We start from the raw sequence: 18,338 nt of genomic DNA, 5'->3' as shown, positions 1-18,338 counted from the left end.
GATCTTCTGAGAAGAAAACATACCAGTTCTTTGAAAAATATCCCCAAACATATCTCCTCCTTTCTGTTTGACTGAGAACTGCTATTACTGAATTTATACATCAGTAAATCTATGTAGCTGCAGCAAAACCACAAGCTTGAGGAACAGATTAAAGCCAGGAACCATCATTCCCACGAGGCAAAACAGTCTCTGTGTTTAAGGCACAGATCTAGCTACCTCAGATTTATAAAACAATTCGAAGACCGGCTGCTAGCACCACTTGCAGTCTAAATAAAGAAGCAGAGAAGAAAAAGCATCTCTGGAGAGGGGCGGCCTATGAATGGGCCTTTTAAAAATATGAGTTGGAGGATTCTGTGAAGCCCCTTAAATAGTATATATCCATATATTCGTTTTTCTGGAGGGAGTGTCTGTAGCTTTCGGAAGATTCTCAAAGAGATCCCTGACCCTTCAAATGACAGTTAATTCTCAGAGCCAGAGCCCTCACTATCAGCTGCAAAGTCCTTTGTAACTATGTAATAAAACAGATGGTGTTTTACCCTCATGGGAAAAAGTTATAATATTATAATCGGTGGGTTGTTCATGCTCAGGCAGTGTTGCAGTGATACATCTTTATAATGATGTTAAATTGTTAAAATTATCTGCCTGGTTCCATAAATATATGATACGTTGTGGTTATAAAAGGGGCCTTTCTCATGAAACTTTTTAAAAGACAGTTTTACTGTATCATTCATTTGGTATAGAATCAACACATTATTCACAATAAATATTAATTAATTAAGGATTAACTAAACAATTTTGTGTGTCCTCCTAAAACTTATAAGTGCTTTCTTGGGGGAGATTTAAGAGGCCTAAGGTGCTTTGAAAACAAAAACCAAAAAGCAGAAATCTGAGGGAATGCCTTGGCTCAGCCAGTCCTGACGCCGATGTTGACTTTGTCTTTCCGGGGTCAGTGCTGGGGCTTGAGGTCTAATCCTATCATGAAAAGCCTGAATGCAAAAGGGTATGGGATATGCATGGATGCAGAAACTGCCCCAGTGGTAAACGATGAAGCCACACAGCGCTGGGCGCAGTGTATAACCAAACACGTGGACTGAATCCAAAGCCATCCTGTAAAAATGCTTATTAAGAGAAAAAGCACAAGCTGAGGTTTTCCCATTAGCTTCCTCCTTCCTAAATGGTAATACCTGCCCCCAAACCCTGTACCAAGAACTGGCCCTTCTGCTCAGAAGTGAGAGACTGGGAAGTCACTTACCAGATGCAGGGGACTGGCCACCAGGGGAGCTTCCAGACCCGGCACCTGCCCTCGCTGAGCTTGGGAGCCTCCCATCAGCCCCATCCTCGGGCTGGTCTCTGGCCTCCGTCCTGCTGGCTTCTTCTTCAGGGGGAAGGCCCATGCCATAGGCGCACTGGGGCAAGGGTCCACGTTTTGGGGAACCCACGAGGGGTTCACAGTCCTCCCCAGGAGGGTTCCGGCAGCCTGTGCAGACATCTGCCCAGTTGGGGCTGGGGCTGGCTGCCCAGTGCGGGCAATGGCCACTGTCCACCTCTTTTTGCAAGTAGTTTTCAGAGGACATGGGAGTCCAATCAGTCCTGCACAGGGGCTCAGTGCAGTTGCAGCTTTCTGAACCCACTGTGCTCTGTGTCCCCGTGAAGCACTGGCTTAAACTGTCATTCTCCCCCACCTCCAGGGGTTCAGAGAAAGGAGGTGTGGATTTGCTTCCAGGCTCAGTGAGGAACAGTAACTGGTCTGTGGGCTGGGAGGGCCTGTCCATGTATTCATCTTCTGTGGGCATCTGTCTGAAGCTGTCTTCCTCTATCTCGGTCTTGCTGACCAATGAGAGCATCCTGGCATCTTCGCCTTGTGCGTAGGGACCACCTCCTACACATGTGCCCTGACAGACACCACCTTGATCTGGGTAGCACATATCTTCTGGAAATGTCTTCTCCTCCAGAGTCAGCAGTAAGACACCTTCACATGCTCCCTGCTGACCAAAGTTTGCCGTGTGTGTACTGACACAACTGTCACCTGAGGACTCCTGCCGATTTACATTCAGAAGGCAGAGGCATTAATACCTAGAGTTATTAGGACAAGTTTAGCTAAACATTGCTGAAAACAGTGTTTACACTGATTATTTCCACCATAACAAGTACAGATGGAAAACTGACTATGGAACTTTGTGTTATTTCAAATTACCGAGTGCAGGAGAACTCTAGAATGGAATACAACTAGAAACAAATGAATGTAGCTGCATCTCAGATGAAAAGCATGTTCACATCTGAGCAAGGAGAGGAGCTAACCCAAATGACTTTTGAACACAGTATTCTGACTACATATTCTCAATCTAAATACAAAACCCCAAAACAACTGTAAACAAATATTGAACTCGAGTAAGCAGCTCTGTGTATCACTGTGGTATGCTCTAGTAATTCTGAAACTACGTTCTATGTATTCTAGAATTGAGCAAATGAGGAAATATACTGAGAATAATAGGAGCCAGGTTTCATACAGCTGGGGAAAGAAAGATTCAAATATGGGAAAGGGAAAGACCAGAATGAATCATGTTGAGTTGGCCTGGAATTAGAGAAATCAGTTTGAGCTTATGCTTTCAAATGTATACATTTTATATCAAAGAAAGTAGATCTAACCAGGCGTGGTGGCTCATGCCTGCAATCCCAGGATTTTGGGAGACCAAGGTGGGTGGATCACCTGAGTTCAGGAGTTCAAGACCAGCCTGGGCAACACAGTGAAACCCTGTCTCTACTAAAAATACAAAAATTAGTTGGGTGTGGTGGCGGGCACCTGTAATCCCAGATACTCAGGAGGCTGAGGCAGAAGAATCGCTTGAACCTGGGAGGCAGAGGTTGCAGTGAGCCGAGATTGCGCCATTGCACTCAAGCCTGGATGAGAGAGTGAGATTCTGTCTCAAAAAAAAAAAAAAAAAAAAAAAGAAGAAGAAGAAAAGAAAGAAAGATCTAAAGGACATAATGAAATAATTAATGAAAATTTAATATCAAATGTGGGTTGAATAATAGTATTGTACCATTGTTAAATTTCTTGATTCCGATACATGTACTATGGTTATATATGAGAATGTCTTTGTTCTTAAATACACACTGAAATATTTAAGGATATGGGACACACAGTCTGCCATTCACTGTAAAATGATTCAAGAAGAAAACATACCTGTGTTCATATACACACATACAGAGAGTAAGCAAATCACAAAGCAATGAGAGAAAATAGAAACAACTGGTGGGCCTATGTCTAGGGTATATGGAAGGTCTTTGTCCTTTTCTCACTACTTTCCTATAATTTTGAACTGTGTCAACATAAAATGTTACCAGAATAACTACAGAGTCAAGGAAAGTTGCAGTTCATCCTTCTTAGGAATCTGTACCAGACAATCAAGATTGGTACTAAAAAAAATGACATGAACACAGAGATGACAGAAGTGGAAACAAAGACAAAGAAAACAGGCATCTAGAATGAGCCTGGACTTGGGCTTTGAGCTGCTCTGCAGGGATCCATCCTGGAATTTGAGGTTTGATCACTGAACCTGGAAATGCCCTGTAAGCAAAGGAGCTGAGGCCGGGCGCGGTGGCTCCTGCCTATAATCCCAGCACTTTGGGAGGCTGAGGCAGGTGGATCACTTGAGGCCAGGAGTTCGAGACTAGCGTGGCCAACACGGTGAAGCCCTGTCTCTATTAAAAACACAAAAAATTAGCCAGGCTTGGTAGTGGGCTCCTGTAATCCCAGCTGCTCAGGAGGCTGAGGCAGGAGAATCACTTGACCCTGGGAGGTGGAGGTTGCAGTGAGCTGAGATTGCACCCCTGCACTCCAGCCTGAGGCACAGAGCGAGACTCCGTCTCAAAAAAAGTGGGGGTGGGGGGGGGTGCTCAATATGTGACTAGGATGGCTCTACCAGCCTAACTGTTGAATGTACTTAACAGAGGCACCAACAACTGTTCACTCTACCTTATCTCCACTTAGGCGGCCACAAGCCTCATTGATCCAGTGCCACAAATTAGCTAGAAAACACAAAGCAAGGATAAGGACTTCAAGTTATTATTTCCCACTTCTTTTCTTTTAAATAAAGGTTATTATGTATATTTAAGGTATACAACATGTTATAGGACAAATATAGATAGTAAAATGGTTACTATAGTGAAGCAAATTAACATACCCATCATCTCACTTAGTTACCCATTTTTATGTGTGTGTGGCAAGATCCGCTAAAATCTACAAATTTAGCAAAAATCTTGAATATGATACAACATGATTAACTACAGTCCCCATCTGTACATTAGATTCCTGGACAACTTTCTTCATCCTGCACATCTGCTACTTTGTATCCTCCGACCCACATCTCCCCATTTTCTTTCCCCCTGTCCCTGCTAACCATTGTTTTATTCTATATCTCTGTATATTTGACTTTTGGGGAACACTACACATATAAGTGCAATCATTCTAGATTTTTATTTCTCTATCAGGCTCAGTATTATGACCACTAGGTCAGTTCAATATTATCTTTCAACAGAGTCCACCGCAAGTCTTTCAGTGAGCACTCCTGGGAGTGAAAGCATTTAAAAGTAAATCAACTGATTTAAAGGCTATGAAGGGCCAGGCGCGGTGGCTCACACCTGTAATGCCAGCACTTTGGGAGGCCAAGGCAGGTGGATCACTTGAGGTCAGGAGTTCATGACTAGCCTGGCCAACATGGTGAAACCACATCTCTACTAAAAATACAAAAATTAGCCGGGCATGGTGGCAATGTCCTGTAATCCCAGCTACTTGGGAGGCTGAAGCAGGAGAATTGCTTGAACCTGGCAGGCGGAGGCTGCAGTGAGCTGAGATTGTGCCACTGCACTCCAACCTAGGCAACAGAGCGAAACTCTGTCTCAAAAAAACCAAAAAATAAAATAAAAAAATAAAAAATAAAAAATAAAGGCTATGAAGCCATCTTACTCCCATCAAAAACAGAACTTCCTGTTCTATGCAAAGCAAAACATGATCCTCTAACGTTTCAGTGACTTCCTCTGGGCACATTTGGGGGCTGTCAGAGGTGCTGCTATGACTATAGACATTCTCATTCTCTTAACAAGTTTTCTTTGGCTATGAGGGACTAAGTTAGACATCATAGAAGAACAAAGAAAACATGTCTAGGAGACTGGTTTTTCCAGTGAACTAGGTTGAATGTACTATAAAAGTGAGGCAAACACAGCAAGCTAGGTGTCAGACCCACTGAGACCAGCGGGCCCCAAGACCTTTTCCACTATATCTGGCTGCTTCTCAGAAGAAAGAAGAATATGTTCAAAAAAGTACATCTCCACCCACTCTTACAGAAGTGATGAAACCTAAAAGGTTAAATTTTATGAATTTTAAGAAATCTATGAATTTATATTATGCAAAGATACAATTTTATCCCACTTCTAATGAACATTTAATGTTGGGTTCACTATAAAGACTAAAGTTAGGGCTGGACCCGGTGGCTCACACCTGTAATCCCAGCACTTTGGGAGGCTGAGGTGGGCGGACCGCTTCAGCTCAGGAGTTTGAGACCAGCTTGGGCAACATGGTGAAACCCCACCTCTATAAAAAAATACAAAAATTAGCCGGGCATGGTGGTGCATGCCTGTGGTCCCAGCTACTTGGGGGGCTGAGGTGGGAGGATTGTTTGAGCCCGGGAGGGAGGTCGAGGCTGCAGTGAGCCACGCTTGTGCCACTGCAGTCCTGCCTGGGTGACAAAGTGAGACCCTGTCTCAAAAAGCAACAACAATAAAAAACAAAACCGACTAAAGTTAGGAGTTGTCAGGTTCTCCATGGGAAGATCATCACAGTTCAGTGTAACAGCTAATGAGCACTTAAGCGTGCCAGGGAGGGTGCTAAGCAGTCTCATCACAAAATAGGGGAAATAATAGTGCCCACCTCATGGTGCTGTTGTGAAGATGTACGTAGTACACGCAAAATATATATAGTCATGTCAGCACATATTAAATATTTAATATGTGTCAGCTATTGCTATTATCATCATTATTCTTGCTTCTTTTCTCTTATTTTGCAATTATATATCAAGGTAAACCACGCCCTCCCTACCCCCCACCAAAAGAGAAAAGGACAGTTGCAGCTGTTTCCTTGGAGGAATCAGTCTAGACAATCACAAATGGCACTAAAAAATAATACCTGTCCACGGAGCTGATAAACATGCAGACCTGCCATGATCACCTCTCCTCTGGACAACTGCAAACAGCTTCCTAACTGGTGCGCCTGCATCTACTCTCACTGTACCACACATTTGTTTGCTACTCTAAAGCCAGAGGGCCGCCCTTGGTCCCCTTTGCTAAGGACAAGGAGCAAACTCCTTCAGCAGCCGCTACATGGTCTCGCCATGCCCTCCTCTCCAGCCTCATCTTCCACTTGGTCCCTGGCTTTCTGCTACGGTGCCATTAGCTCCTTCCAGCCCGCTAATGCACTGTGCTCCCCTCATCATGCAGCTCTCTCACGATAGAATGCCTGTGGTTCTCCTGATGCCCCTTGTCTAGTGAATTCTGACTTGTCTTTCAGATCTTAACTCACCCATTTCCTCCTCTGGGAGACCCTGGCTGGCCCCAGGGATGGGCTGACCTTCTGTCATCTGCCACTTGGTGCTCAGCACCTTCTCTTGCATACTCAGCTTCCCTCTGTGGGCTTAACGCCTACCCTGCCCACTAAGATGCTTCCTCCAGGAGGGCACTGGCTGTGTCTGTGTTGCTCGATATTGAGACCCCAGTGTCAGTCCAGTCCCTGATGATCAATAAACATGTATGGATGAAAGGATGAAGAGCTAACAGTCATGACATCCAGTTCACTAAATGGTAGGCCCATATGGCAGTAAAATAGTATCAAAAAGAAAAACCTAAAGAACAAAACATCAGGAAGTCTGTTTATCTCACATAAACGTGCCTACAAGCGACCTTCATCATCTGAACATGCATTATCCAAATCCCTAGTAATGATGTTGTTAAGGAGGTGAAGCTGCACTAAATAAAGGCATTCAACAATGAACAGACTCTTTAAGAAATGGTCACCACTTGGCTGGGTGCGGTGGCTCATGCATGTAATCCCAGCACTTTGGGAGGCCAAGGTGGGTGGATCATGAGGTCAGGAGTTCGAGACCAGCCTGACCAACGTGGTGAAACCCCATCTCTACTAAAAATACAAAAATTAGCCAGGCATGGTGGCAAATGCCCGTAATCCCAGGTACTCAGGAGGCTGAGGGAGGAGAATCGCTGCAACCCAGGAGGCGGAGGTTGCAGTGAGCTGAGATCACACCACTGCACTCCAGCTTGGGCGACAGAGCGAGACTCTGTCTCAAAAAAAAAAAAAAAAAAAAAGGGTCATCACTCAAACATTGCTCACTGCTTAACACTGGCATCTGCAATCCCCATCTTTCCTCTTTAATTAATCTTCTGATTGTCTAGTGTTTCATTTGGCAATGTAATGGTTAGAGAAGTAGCTAGATATGCAGGGTCTCTTGAAGTCCAAGAGTGTGACGTGGGAAAACTGATCAAATCACAGCAAGGCAAAGGTGGGCCCTATAAATAAGCAACCAACTGGGCCAGGCGTGGTGGCTCACGCCTGTAATCCCAGCACTTTGGAAGGCAGAGGCCAGTGGATCACCTGAGGCCAGGAGATCGAGACCAGCCTGGCCAACATGGTCAAACCCCATTTCTACTAAAAATACAAAAATTAGCTGGGCGTGGTGGCAAATGCCTGTAATCCCAGCTACTCGGGAGGCTGAGGCAGGAGAATCACTTGAACCTGGGAGGCGGAGGCTGCAGTGAGTCGAGATCGTGCCACTACACTCCAGCCTAGGCAACATAGCGAGACTCTGTCTAAAAAATAAATAAGTAAATAAATAAATAAATAAGAGAGCAACTGAAAATGGAAAAGGATGGTGAAACAGCAGGTTTTTAATATTCAAGTCAAAAGAGAATGACTTGAATATTAAAGGAAAGATTTAAGAGATATTCTTAGGAAATCTAATGATGCCTTGAATCCTTTCGTAAAAATTACACATTTTTAGCTTTGTAGTCTACAAGTTAAACATGACGTGATGTTTAAAGACACTAACAAATTTGTGTGGGAAAATTATTCCCAAGAAACAGGATAAGACTTGACCGTCTATTCTAAGAATAAGCACCCAAATTTTATTCAATATAACTTATTTTCATAATCGAAGGTTCTTTTTTTTTTTTTTTTTTTTTTTGAGATGAAGTTTTGCTCTTGTTGTCCAGGCTGGAGTGCAATGGCATGATCTTGGCTCACTGCAACCTCTGCCTCCTAGGTTCAAGTGATCCTCCTACCTCAGCCTCTCAAGTAGCTGGAATTACAGGCATGTGCCACCATGTCTGGCTAATTTTGTATTTTTAGTACAGATGGGGTTTCACCATGTTGGCCAGGCTGCTCTCAAACTCCTGACCTCAGGTGATCCACCTGCCTCGGCCTCTCAAAGTGCTGGGATTACAAGTGTGAGCCACCACACCCACCGAAGGTTCTTATTTCAAAGTAACACTCCAGTCAGAAATTCCCCCCTACCGGTCATCTAAATATTTTATGTATATTTTAAAAGCATGCATTAAAAATTGATGTATTCTAGGATAAATGCAAGCTCCCATATATGTGATGCTGCAGAGTCTACACAACTCAAATACAGAGCTTACAAGTCATCCGTTTCCTGAACGCCAGCGTATTCCTGTTCCCTTATATACAACTAGGCAGGATATTGGCTTTTTCAAGTTTTTGGAGTTTTGTTTCTTTTTGCCAGAGAATGATAAAACGTGTTTTGCTTTAGTTTAAGCAGATCACCATAGGCAGCAAGTAGACAATCTACTCAACTTCCAAAGCATTTACCTAGAAATCTATCTTTTAAGATTGGTTTGCAAAAACCACCATAGACACAATACCTGTGAGTGCTTTCCCTTTTTTCCTATAGCAAACGCCAAAGATGATGGCAGCCACCAGGGCCACAGACGCGAAGAGAAGCAGAATTATTAAACCGGGCAAGTAAACATGGGGTTCTGTATTGGAAGAAAATGAGAAATATGGTAGTAAAGATTCTTTAATTTTACGCAGTTGAAAAACAAATCCCGGTAAATCAAACCTCAGAATCAAAAATGTTGGTCTGGGATAGCAGAAGTGACAGTCCCCACCCTTGGCTGCCCTTTGTCCGCGAGCACTCACATTCCAAAGGGTGAGATCCACAATCTCAGCCAGCCCTGCTCAGTCCGGTTTCACTCTACGGGAGAGCAGCCAGGGCCATTACGGTGTTTCTACCTTAGAACAGCTCTCATCATGCTCACCACATCACCCAGTCTCATTTTGGCTAACCTCCAGAACCCTTCAGTATCCCCAGAAAAATGACCCCTGCAGACAAAAGGAGCTTCTTCTATCTCTTTCCTAATAGCAACAGGGCACCAGGGGTTTGCTGGTCATGAGAACAGAACCACAGCCATCCTGTGAAATATTTCTGTAGTTTTCATCCCCGACACCACGTGGACCCAACTGTTCTCTTCATCCCTCCCTGATCACTTCATTGCTAGAATCCTTGCTCAAAACTCTTGATTTACATGACCTGGTTTCCTGGACTCCTACTTTTCCTCTCCTCTTTTTTAAAATAACTTTTTATTCCTTCAGTTATATTTAATGTTATCTGCCAAATGGTCTTTAAAAAAGTTTGCTCTGATTGTGTAACTCCACATCCAGAATGCTTTAATGTCTTCCTGTTTCCCAAAACATCAAGGCCAAACCCCTGATTTCTTGGTCAAAGCTTGTTAACCCGGTTATTCTGTGGCCTATTGTTCTCTTTCCTCATCTGAAAGGTCTCCTTGCCACTGAAGCAATCTCTTCCGATATCTGGACCCACACCTCCACACTGTCCTGCTCACCAAGTAACCAGCCTCCACCATCAACTTTCTGGCAATCTGAAACTCTACTTAAGATTAATTTAATGTGGCTGGGCACAGTGGCTCACTACTGTAATCCTAGCACTTTGGGAGACCAAGGCGGGCAGATCACCTGGGGCCAGGAGTTTGAGACCAGCCTGGCCAACACGGTGAAACCCTGTCTCTACTAAAAACACAAAAACTAGCTGGGCATGGTGGTGTGCGCCTGTAATCCCAGCTACTCAGGAGGCTGAGGCAGGAGAATCGCTTGAACCCGGGAGTTGGAGGTTGCAGTGAGCTGATATCACGCCACTGCACTCCAGCCTGGGTGGCAGAGTGACACTCTATCTCAAAAAGAAAAAAAAAAAAGATTAATTTAATCTAATCTACAACATGTTCCATAGATAATGATAGCTAGATCCTAACAATTTGGGAAGATGACTAAAATCTCCTCATAGACACCCTCACTTGTGACCACCATCATCCCACCATGTCTGAGCATTTTAATTTATGTTTGCAGCTCTATTTTCTTTTTATGTATATCAAAACATTATTAGTTACCCCCAATCCAGTGTAGAAAATTATCAAGGAAACAACATACCTGGAATTAAAATACTGATGAGAATGAAATATTCAGCTGACCATGCACGGGATGAAATAAAGGGGGAGAGGACGCCCGCAAATCCACGTGCCATCTGGGAGGGATCTAAACCAGCTGACCACCCTGGGGCACATCTATCAACCAACAGGCTCTTTTTAAACATACCATTTGGTGGTTTTCTAGCTGGCAGAGAAGAACTGCAAACCGCATCGGATTTCTCTGTCCCATGATGTTCTACTCTCTTTCCAAGGAAGGTACAGCTGTGGGGGAAAAGGTGGTTCAGTGCTTTGGTTTTATAAGCTTGTTTTTTAAAAAGTGAACAAATGCAAAACTCTCCCAGATTGCCAGCTCCTTCAGGAGAGGAACCCACGCCTTCTTGGACATTTGAATCCCCTGTGCCTTCCACAGGGAGGAGAACAGCACAAGGTGGGACAAACAAATAAACAAAAGCAAACGCTGCCTGTGTTCTCTGACAGCTACTCTGAGATTGCGGTCAGCAAAGGAGCAGAGCAGAGTCTTCAGGAAAGAATATTCTGGCCGTGCCTGGGTGGCTCAGGCCTGTCATCCTAGCACTTTGGGAGGCTGAGGCAAGAAGATTGCTTGAGCCCAGGAATTAGAGACTAGCCTGGGCAACATGGTGAAACCCTGTCTCTACAAAAAATTTAAAAATCAGCTGGGTGCGGTGTACGTGCCTGTGGTCTCAGCTACTGTGGAGGCAAAGGCAGGAGGATTGCTTGAGCCCAGGAGGTTGAAGGTGCAGTGAGCCGTGTTTGTACCACTGCACTTTGGCCTGGGCAACAGAGCGAGATCATGTCTCAAGAAAAAAAAAATGCATATTCCAATAGCTTCAATTACATGGTTAAGTGACATACTTTTGCTGATTGCTCTTTTTGAAAAACACAGAAAATCCTCTTGAACATAAAATTTGGATAAGTGAATCAGAAAATAAACATTTATTTATGTATTTTAATTTAATTTTCATTGTTTAAAAATGTGAGATGGGGTCTTGCTATGTTGCCCAGGCTGTTCTCAAACTCCTGGGCTCAAGCAAACCTCCTGCCTCTGACTCCTGAGTAGCTGGGATTACAGGCACGTGCCACCATGCCCAGCAGAAAATAAACATTTAATAAGAAATATACAGGGAACTGAAAGAATCATTATGTTGATTATTGGTATGCAACAACAAACATGCAATGAAAGGACCCATGAATTCCACTATAGATTTACTCACATACGTGAGAAATCATATATATATGAGATTCTTCATTAAAAAATTATGTATTACTGTAAAAGACTGGGAACAACCTAAATGACTATCAATAAAGAACTTATTACATAACTTACAGTACATCTCTACAATGAAATACTATGCAGCTGTGAAAAGCCAAGAAAATCATGAACTGGTGAACTAATATAGAAAAAGCTTCAGGATATAATATGTGAAAAAAAACCCCACGATGTTGACAGCATGCAAACATTTATATAAACAGGAGGCTTCTATATGTACACACACACACAAATAACTGGATGAATAAATCAGTGATGTTGGGAAATCGGGAGAAGTAGGCGTGACCACTGAATAAATGTTATAAATCATTTTCAACCAAACAAGGTTAGAAAAAGCTGCAACCGTAAGTCACAGATTACCAAATCTAAAAAGTCACACGAAGTTCCTGTCACACATAGGGCTGAAGAATTAGTTTGACTGGTTTATTTTCCCCAGGCTGAATTGACAGACTTTTTCCATTTTGAACGTGGCTTCAAGAGGAAGCCTAACCCAACAGAATCCGTCCGTTTTCAACCCAGACGAGACAGTGGAGGTTGAGTTGTTTAAAAACCAACCATCTCTTCTGACTCCTTTGTTGTTACTTACTTGGTCCAGGGTCTGCATTTGTCCGTGGAGGAAAAGGCATCAGAGAAGTAGCCTGCAAGGCAAGGTTTGCACACTGTGTCCTTGTTGAGCTGCACTGTGAGAAAAAAAAAAAAAAACAACCCAGACAGAACAAACAAAAAACAAACGAGGTCACTTAGAGATCATCCAGGCTGGGACTCCAGAGGACTGGAGGTGAGGCGCTGCCCCTCTCTGCCCTCACCTCCCACCCCTGTGCCCACCCCTGTGTCTAACTTCTTCAGCTCCCACAGGCTTGGGCCCACAGAGCAGTTCTGACCCCAGCAGTGAGTTATGGAACCACGCTCAGAAAGGTAACTGACTTGATGTCAGGCCACTAACACTGGTATGTGATGTCCAGGTCAGGCTAGCTCTGGTCATGACCCTTTGTTGTTCTGAGCCACTCCCCTGGTCACCGACACTTTGTTTCCTAGTCTGGGAGCCGATGTTGACTGCTCCTGCTATCTGTCTCTTGTTTTCCCCCATGCACCTGCCAGCTAGCCCAGCCTCTGTCTGCAGGGAATGGCAGACACATTACTGCTTTGAAGGTCACTGTCCTGACCTCTTCTGATGAGCTTAATCTCCTCAGTCCAAATATCAGAGTGTCAACAAAGTTTTCTCAGTTAAAAAAAGAAGACGAGGAAGAACCCTACAGGTCTCTTTCCCTGCAACCAAGGGTTGGTATCAAACATTTTCTATAAAGGGTCATAGAGTAAATATCTTAGGCTTTGCAGGCCTATGGTCTCTGCTGCAGCTACTCATAGCATGAAAGCAGTCCAACAATACATTAAAAGCAATGCACGAGGGTGTGTTCCAATAAAACTTTACTGATAAACACAGTGGCACAATGGATCTTAGACCCCTTCCTTAATGGACAGTGTTGAAAGTAGGAGCTGATCCTGGTTAGTGAACTGACTTGACTCTCATATTCTTCAAAAACTACACTGTCAAAATAAATGTCTCAGGTTTCCTATGCCTATTCCCTCTACTGCAATCCACACATGATGATTCTTCGGTAAGTCCCAAGAAGAACATTGGCTACTATGTGATATCATAATCAGGCAACTGGCTGGTGCCCAAACCACAAATTACTCCTGAAATTAGTAGCACTTCTGTGATTTACTTTCGTGAATAAAACACTAAAAAAAGGAAATAAATTTTCTTTGTCCAGAGTCAAGTATGAAGTATACTGTTGATTTCTGCAATTTGGCTGGCTAGGTAGGGTACCCGCTCCTTCACCTAGCAATTTGATTTGCCTTGAATCTTTATTAAGAAGAGCCCAGTTGACATCTAATAACTCACATTAATTTGAACAGCTTTTTAAAAGAGAAGCACAATCTAGAGTTGTGAGAAGCCCTCAAAATCGAAGAGACGGGGGCTAACAGGCATACAAAGGGTTAAGGGTGTTAATTTCCATAGCTTGACTTCCATATGACTCTTAGTAACACTGACCTGCCAGAAGCATCCTGCAGGCTCCTTTCCTTGCTCCCTTTCATAATCACACTTTTCCCATTTCACAAAAGATATACTTTTTACCCACCCCATAGTTTGCTGCTATGCTGCCAAACCTCTGAGATGCTGAACGAGGTGACAAGTGGACATTGGGGATGGCAGAGTTCCTGCGCCTCCCAGCACAGTTCCCACCTTTCCCGCTCTATTAAGGGCAAAAGCAGGATGATAGAAATGGGGCAGCTGCGATCAGGCTGACTTGTTCTGAATTGAAATTATGCAGGGTGGGACAGGAGTGAAATTTCCATTCATCTACCGTTTCCCCTCTATCCTCAACCTATTTTGTCCAAAAATGAACCCATTTCCAAAGGTACAAGGCAGAGAGAAAGTCTAATAGAATCCCTGATGTGACATGCTGGTGAAAACCTAAAGGAAAGGCTCTGGGCCTCTTCTATTTTAGAATCAGAATTCAGAGGGAGTTGGCTGTGATAGGGAGATCCATTTTAACCATTAAAAAATCAAGTCAGACTTTTTGTAAGAGAAAGCACATCTGGTTTAGTCAATGCATTTGATAATAAAGACCGAATGTGTCAGTTAGACTCTGTGATGGACATTTTCCTTGATATGAATTGAAATGGATAATATTTTAATTCTCCCAACCCTGTCCAAGTATTTTGGGTTAAAACCAGGTGCCTCTAAGGGAATGAGTAATAGGCATAAATAATCATTTGTTAAGTCGTGGAAAAAAACGCTTTTGTTATACTTCCTAGAAGTCAGGAAAGCAAATTACTCTAAGAAATACTTTTTCAACTCAAAAGGATTTCTATTCCTTTACTTTCAACAAAATTGAAGGACACAATTGAATTCTCAACTGATAGAGCGTTAAAAATAACTTCTGATATCACATCAGTAGGTGAGCTTGGCCACATAAATCAGAAGGTACTGAAAGAAATTGAGGGACACACCTATAACCAAAGTGTTTCCTTTGCCATTCAGTTATTTATGTGAACAAATTTCTCAGCACTTACATACATAAAAACAAAAAGTAGAAACAGAATTGATGTTGAATGCTGTTGCATTTTAGCAAGAAGTAATATTTAGCCACAAATATATGAATTGGAAAAACAATCCCACTCATTATGGAGGTCAGAAGTTTTTACTTTTATGATTATAATATAGCAAAATAGGATATATTCATTTGTGACCAATTGTGTAATAATAAATGCAGTGACAACTTGGTCCAGAAGAAATGTTTTTAACCCTCAGTCAAAGTAAATATTTAAAAATTAAGATTTTGACTAGGTGTGGTGGCTCATGCCTATAATCCCAGCCCAGCACTTTGGGAGGCCGAGGTGGGCAGATCACCTGAAGTCGGGAGTTCGAGACCAGCCTGACCAACATAGAGAAACCCCATCTCTACCAAAAATACAAAATTAGCCAGGCGTGGTGGTGCATCCCGGTAATCCCAGTTATTCAAGAGGCTGAGGCAGGAGAATCGCTTGAACCTGGGAGGCAGAGGTTGCGGTGAGCCGAGATTGTGCCATTGCACTCCAGCCTGGGCAACAAGAGCAAAACTCCATCTCAAAAAAAAAATAAATAAAATAAATAAAGATTTCAAATAGGTGCATATTTTTCAATATGTGCATATTCGAATGTGAAAAGGTGATTAGTAAAAACCCTCCAAGCATAAAAAATATATCAGGATAAAATTCTATGGGGAAGGTGGAATGGATAGGAAACAAAAGGAGAGAAAGTAACTATGTAAACTGTCCAATAGTTAAATACAATTGGCGCATTTAAAAATGAATCATAGTGGGCACAAATGGCCATGGTGTTTACATTCCCCTGGATTCGTTTCTTCAGTGTTATCGCAGTTATAATTCCCTGGTAACTAAGTCCTTATCAGTTCTTCAAACTTGTAACAAAACTTTTTAGATGTCAACTTAAAAACGTGCTGGGGTGGGGGATGCATGGTTTTTCCAAAATTCTAATGGGTGCACACTTTTCAAAAACGTCCAATCACCCCTGCACTATCCTGCTGGCTCCTAAGTGGGGATCCCAGGTTTCCACGGATGGAGGAGCCCCAGCAACCCCTGGCCATGGCCAGAGCATGTAGGCAAATTGCCCGCAGTCCCTTTGAAGAACCTAAGCCGAGGATTCATTCTCAGGTCTTGCCTGGGCCTGTATCTCGTGGAAAATCAGCCCCCACCTTTCCCCATCCCTCAGGTTCCTCCAATGCTGCCTAGCACCCTGGAGCTTTCTTGCTGCTATTATCAAGACTGTCTCAAAGCTGGCTTTGCATGGCTCAGCAAGAGCCGACAGACGCACACATCCAACCCGTACACGGGTGCTGGGCGCCCAGGCCCGGCGCGCACTCGGTGTTGCGGCGGCAGCACTCGCAGTCCTGGCTCCAGTGGTACCCAGCCGTGCACGCGCAGCGCCGGGGGGTCGTGCTGTTGCCGGCGACCACGGCCACCAGGGCCTTGCCTGCGGGAGACAAGAGACAGGTCAGTGGCCAGGGAGGGGCAGGCAGCCCAAACACACCGCCCACGACTGCGCTATCCAACATCCAGCCCAGAGCAGCAGCCCGCCTGGCAGGCCTGCAGAGTGAATCACCAGGACACTGCTCGAGAAGTCCCAAGTTCCTCCTCGCACTTCCTGCACTGGCACGAAAACGTCACGGGGGGGTTCTTCTCTCTCTCATAATTAAGAGTTTTGTGGGCTTTTTTTAAAAGTCAATTTTCATGTTAGTAGAAAGATAAGGACTTGGGAATTGATGATCATTGAATGTTTTGGCGAATGCAGAAGGGTCACAGAGTTGAGCTTCCTCGTTTTTTGTAAATTCAAATGCCATATGTATAAGACTAACGCAAGACTGGACCTTAGAGAACAGGGTTTCTGGAGGTTTAGGATTCATTGTAGGATCCTGAGGCATCCCAGGGTGAAAACGGGTTGTTGTGGAGTTACATGCATGGAGAGGGTACAGAGGCAGGCCCAGTGACATGCTTGGAGTCAAACTCTCCTCAAGCACTCAGGGTAACATGCTTGTTTCTGTTTTCACAACACATGGCCTTCTTGTTCCAAATCTCCTGGCCCCTTCCAGTTTTTCTGGAATGCAGGTACGTGGGAATTGATCTGTTGTAAACTACACACACACACACACACGTATCTGTTATAAACTACATACACACACAAATATGAATCAAATTATTGATCAATCAATAGTCCTCATTATTTGCAGATTCATATTTGTGAATTCACCTGCTCAATAAAATTTATTTGCACCCCAAAATCAATCCTCTTGGTACTTCTGCAGTCCTTCAGGGACAGAACCGTGTACATTTTGAGTTGCTCCACACTCAGGTTTCTGGCTGAGGTTGGGTAATCGATGCTCTGCCTTCTTGTTTCAGCTCACAGAAGGTAAACGAGCTTTTTGTTGGTGATTTCCCTGCTTACAACAGCCCCCAACTGTCGTGCTGAAGAGCTGTCTAGCGTTCTAAGTGCAAGAAAACTGTGGTGTGCCTTACAGAGAAAATAAGTGTGTTAGAGAAGCTTCACTCAGGCATGAATTACAGTGCTGTTGGCCATGAGTGCAATGTTAATGAATCAACAACATGTATCAAATAAGGTGTCTTTAACAGAAACACACATGAAACAAGTTTACGTGGTGATCAGTCCGTGACAGTGTGACTGGAGGCTTGCAGGAACCTCACCCTGTAATCCACTAGGAGTAATGGCTCAGGATTTGCTAATTCAGTGTTCACGGTGACTTTATAGAACATAACTACTGTGCATAACCACAGTCAACTGCACATAAGTACATGACCCCATACCCCCCAACATGATACAAAACAATAACATTATTTAAAACAGACCTTGTACCCTTCTAGGGCTCCTTCTCACCTGGATTGTCCAAACAGCCCCTGCACCTTATATTCCTGAATACTTATAGGAATTCCAAGGGAAAAACAAGCCAACAAACCAGAAACCCGCTGTCTCTTATGGTCTCAAGTTACAGCCAGTAGGGAGGGGACATTTCCTATTTCCAATCTTTATAGACCCAAGCTTGGTGACCCTGGAGAAGTCCCCATTTCCTGCAGTGCCCACTCTTCCAAGGCCCCAGTCAGCTCTGCAACATCAAGGCCAAAATGCAAAAACATGTCCACAACACATGGGAACGTCCACAGACACATGCCACTTCTCTGGAAAATTCCAACTACTCCTAGGATCCCATCCGAATGTAAGCCTGGGTGGTGATGAATAATTTTGACATAATTTAAAATATTGTATGTAATGTACCAGATTTTTGGCTTTAATCAACTTTGGCAGTAGACAGAATGAATCTTTATTTCCAAGAGACAGCAATGAGTCAAGGTCATTACTAAGCAGTGGGAAATAAAAAAGGCTTGATCAGATGCTTCTGCTCAGTGGAGTTTCCATGTTACCTTCCCTAGCCAAAATCTGCCAGCTGTCTCCAGC

General features: G+C 43.7%; 1 protein-coding gene across 10 annotated transcripts in view, besides 2 other annotated features; it reads right to left on the bottom strand.

The window, feature by feature from the left end:
* Positions 1-18,338, bottom strand: part of TNFRSF11A (TNF receptor superfamily member 11a) — a 65,979-nt gene that overhangs the window by 20,552 nt on the left and 27,089 nt on the right. For 3 of the 10 annotated variants that reach the window (XM_011526245.3, XM_017026064.2, XM_017026066.2), the window contains 6 exons: positions 16,188-16,346; positions 12,396-12,484; positions 10,688-10,782; positions 8,944-9,057; positions 3,977-4,029; positions 1,253-2,036 (listed from right to left, as the gene is read on the bottom strand). In XM_011526245.3, the coding sequence (XP_011524547.1) occupies positions 1,253-2,036; positions 3,977-4,029; positions 8,944-9,057; positions 10,688-10,782; positions 12,396-12,484; positions 16,188-16,346 (1,294 nt within the window). Of the gene's footprint in view, positions 1-1,252; positions 2,037-3,976; positions 4,030-8,943; positions 9,058-10,687; positions 10,783-12,395; positions 12,490-16,187; positions 16,347-18,338 lie in introns of all 10 variants that reach the window. The other 7 variants (XM_011526244.3, XM_017026065.2, NM_003839.4 and 4 more) reach the window with 6 other exon arrangements.
* Positions 2,303-2,452: a silencer, noted in NCBI's record as "silent region_9506". NCBI's record gives its function as "represses an Ori minimal core promoter by ATAC-STARR-seq in GM12878 lymphoblastoid cells {active_cell/tissue: GM12878}" and the evidence as "EXISTENCE:reporter gene assay evidence [ECO:0000049][PMID:35858748]".
* Positions 3,238-3,774: an enhancer, noted in NCBI's record as "NANOG-H3K27ac hESC enhancer chr18:60034196-60034732 (GRCh37/hg19 assembly coordinates)". NCBI's record gives its function as "activates a minimal SCP1, AML or CMV promoter by ChIP-STARR-seq in naive H9 embryonic stem cells {active_cell/tissue: H9 hESC(naive)}" and the evidence as "EXISTENCE:reporter gene assay evidence [ECO:0000049][PMID:30033119]".

Source organism: Homo sapiens, chromosome 18, assembly GCF_000001405.40.
Source record: "Homo sapiens chromosome 18, GRCh38.p14 Primary Assembly".
NCBI lineage: Eukaryota > Metazoa > Chordata > Mammalia > Primates > Hominidae > Homo > Homo sapiens.
Note: the sequence above shows the minus strand (reverse complement) of the source record. Positions and strands in the feature narration are given on the sequence as shown.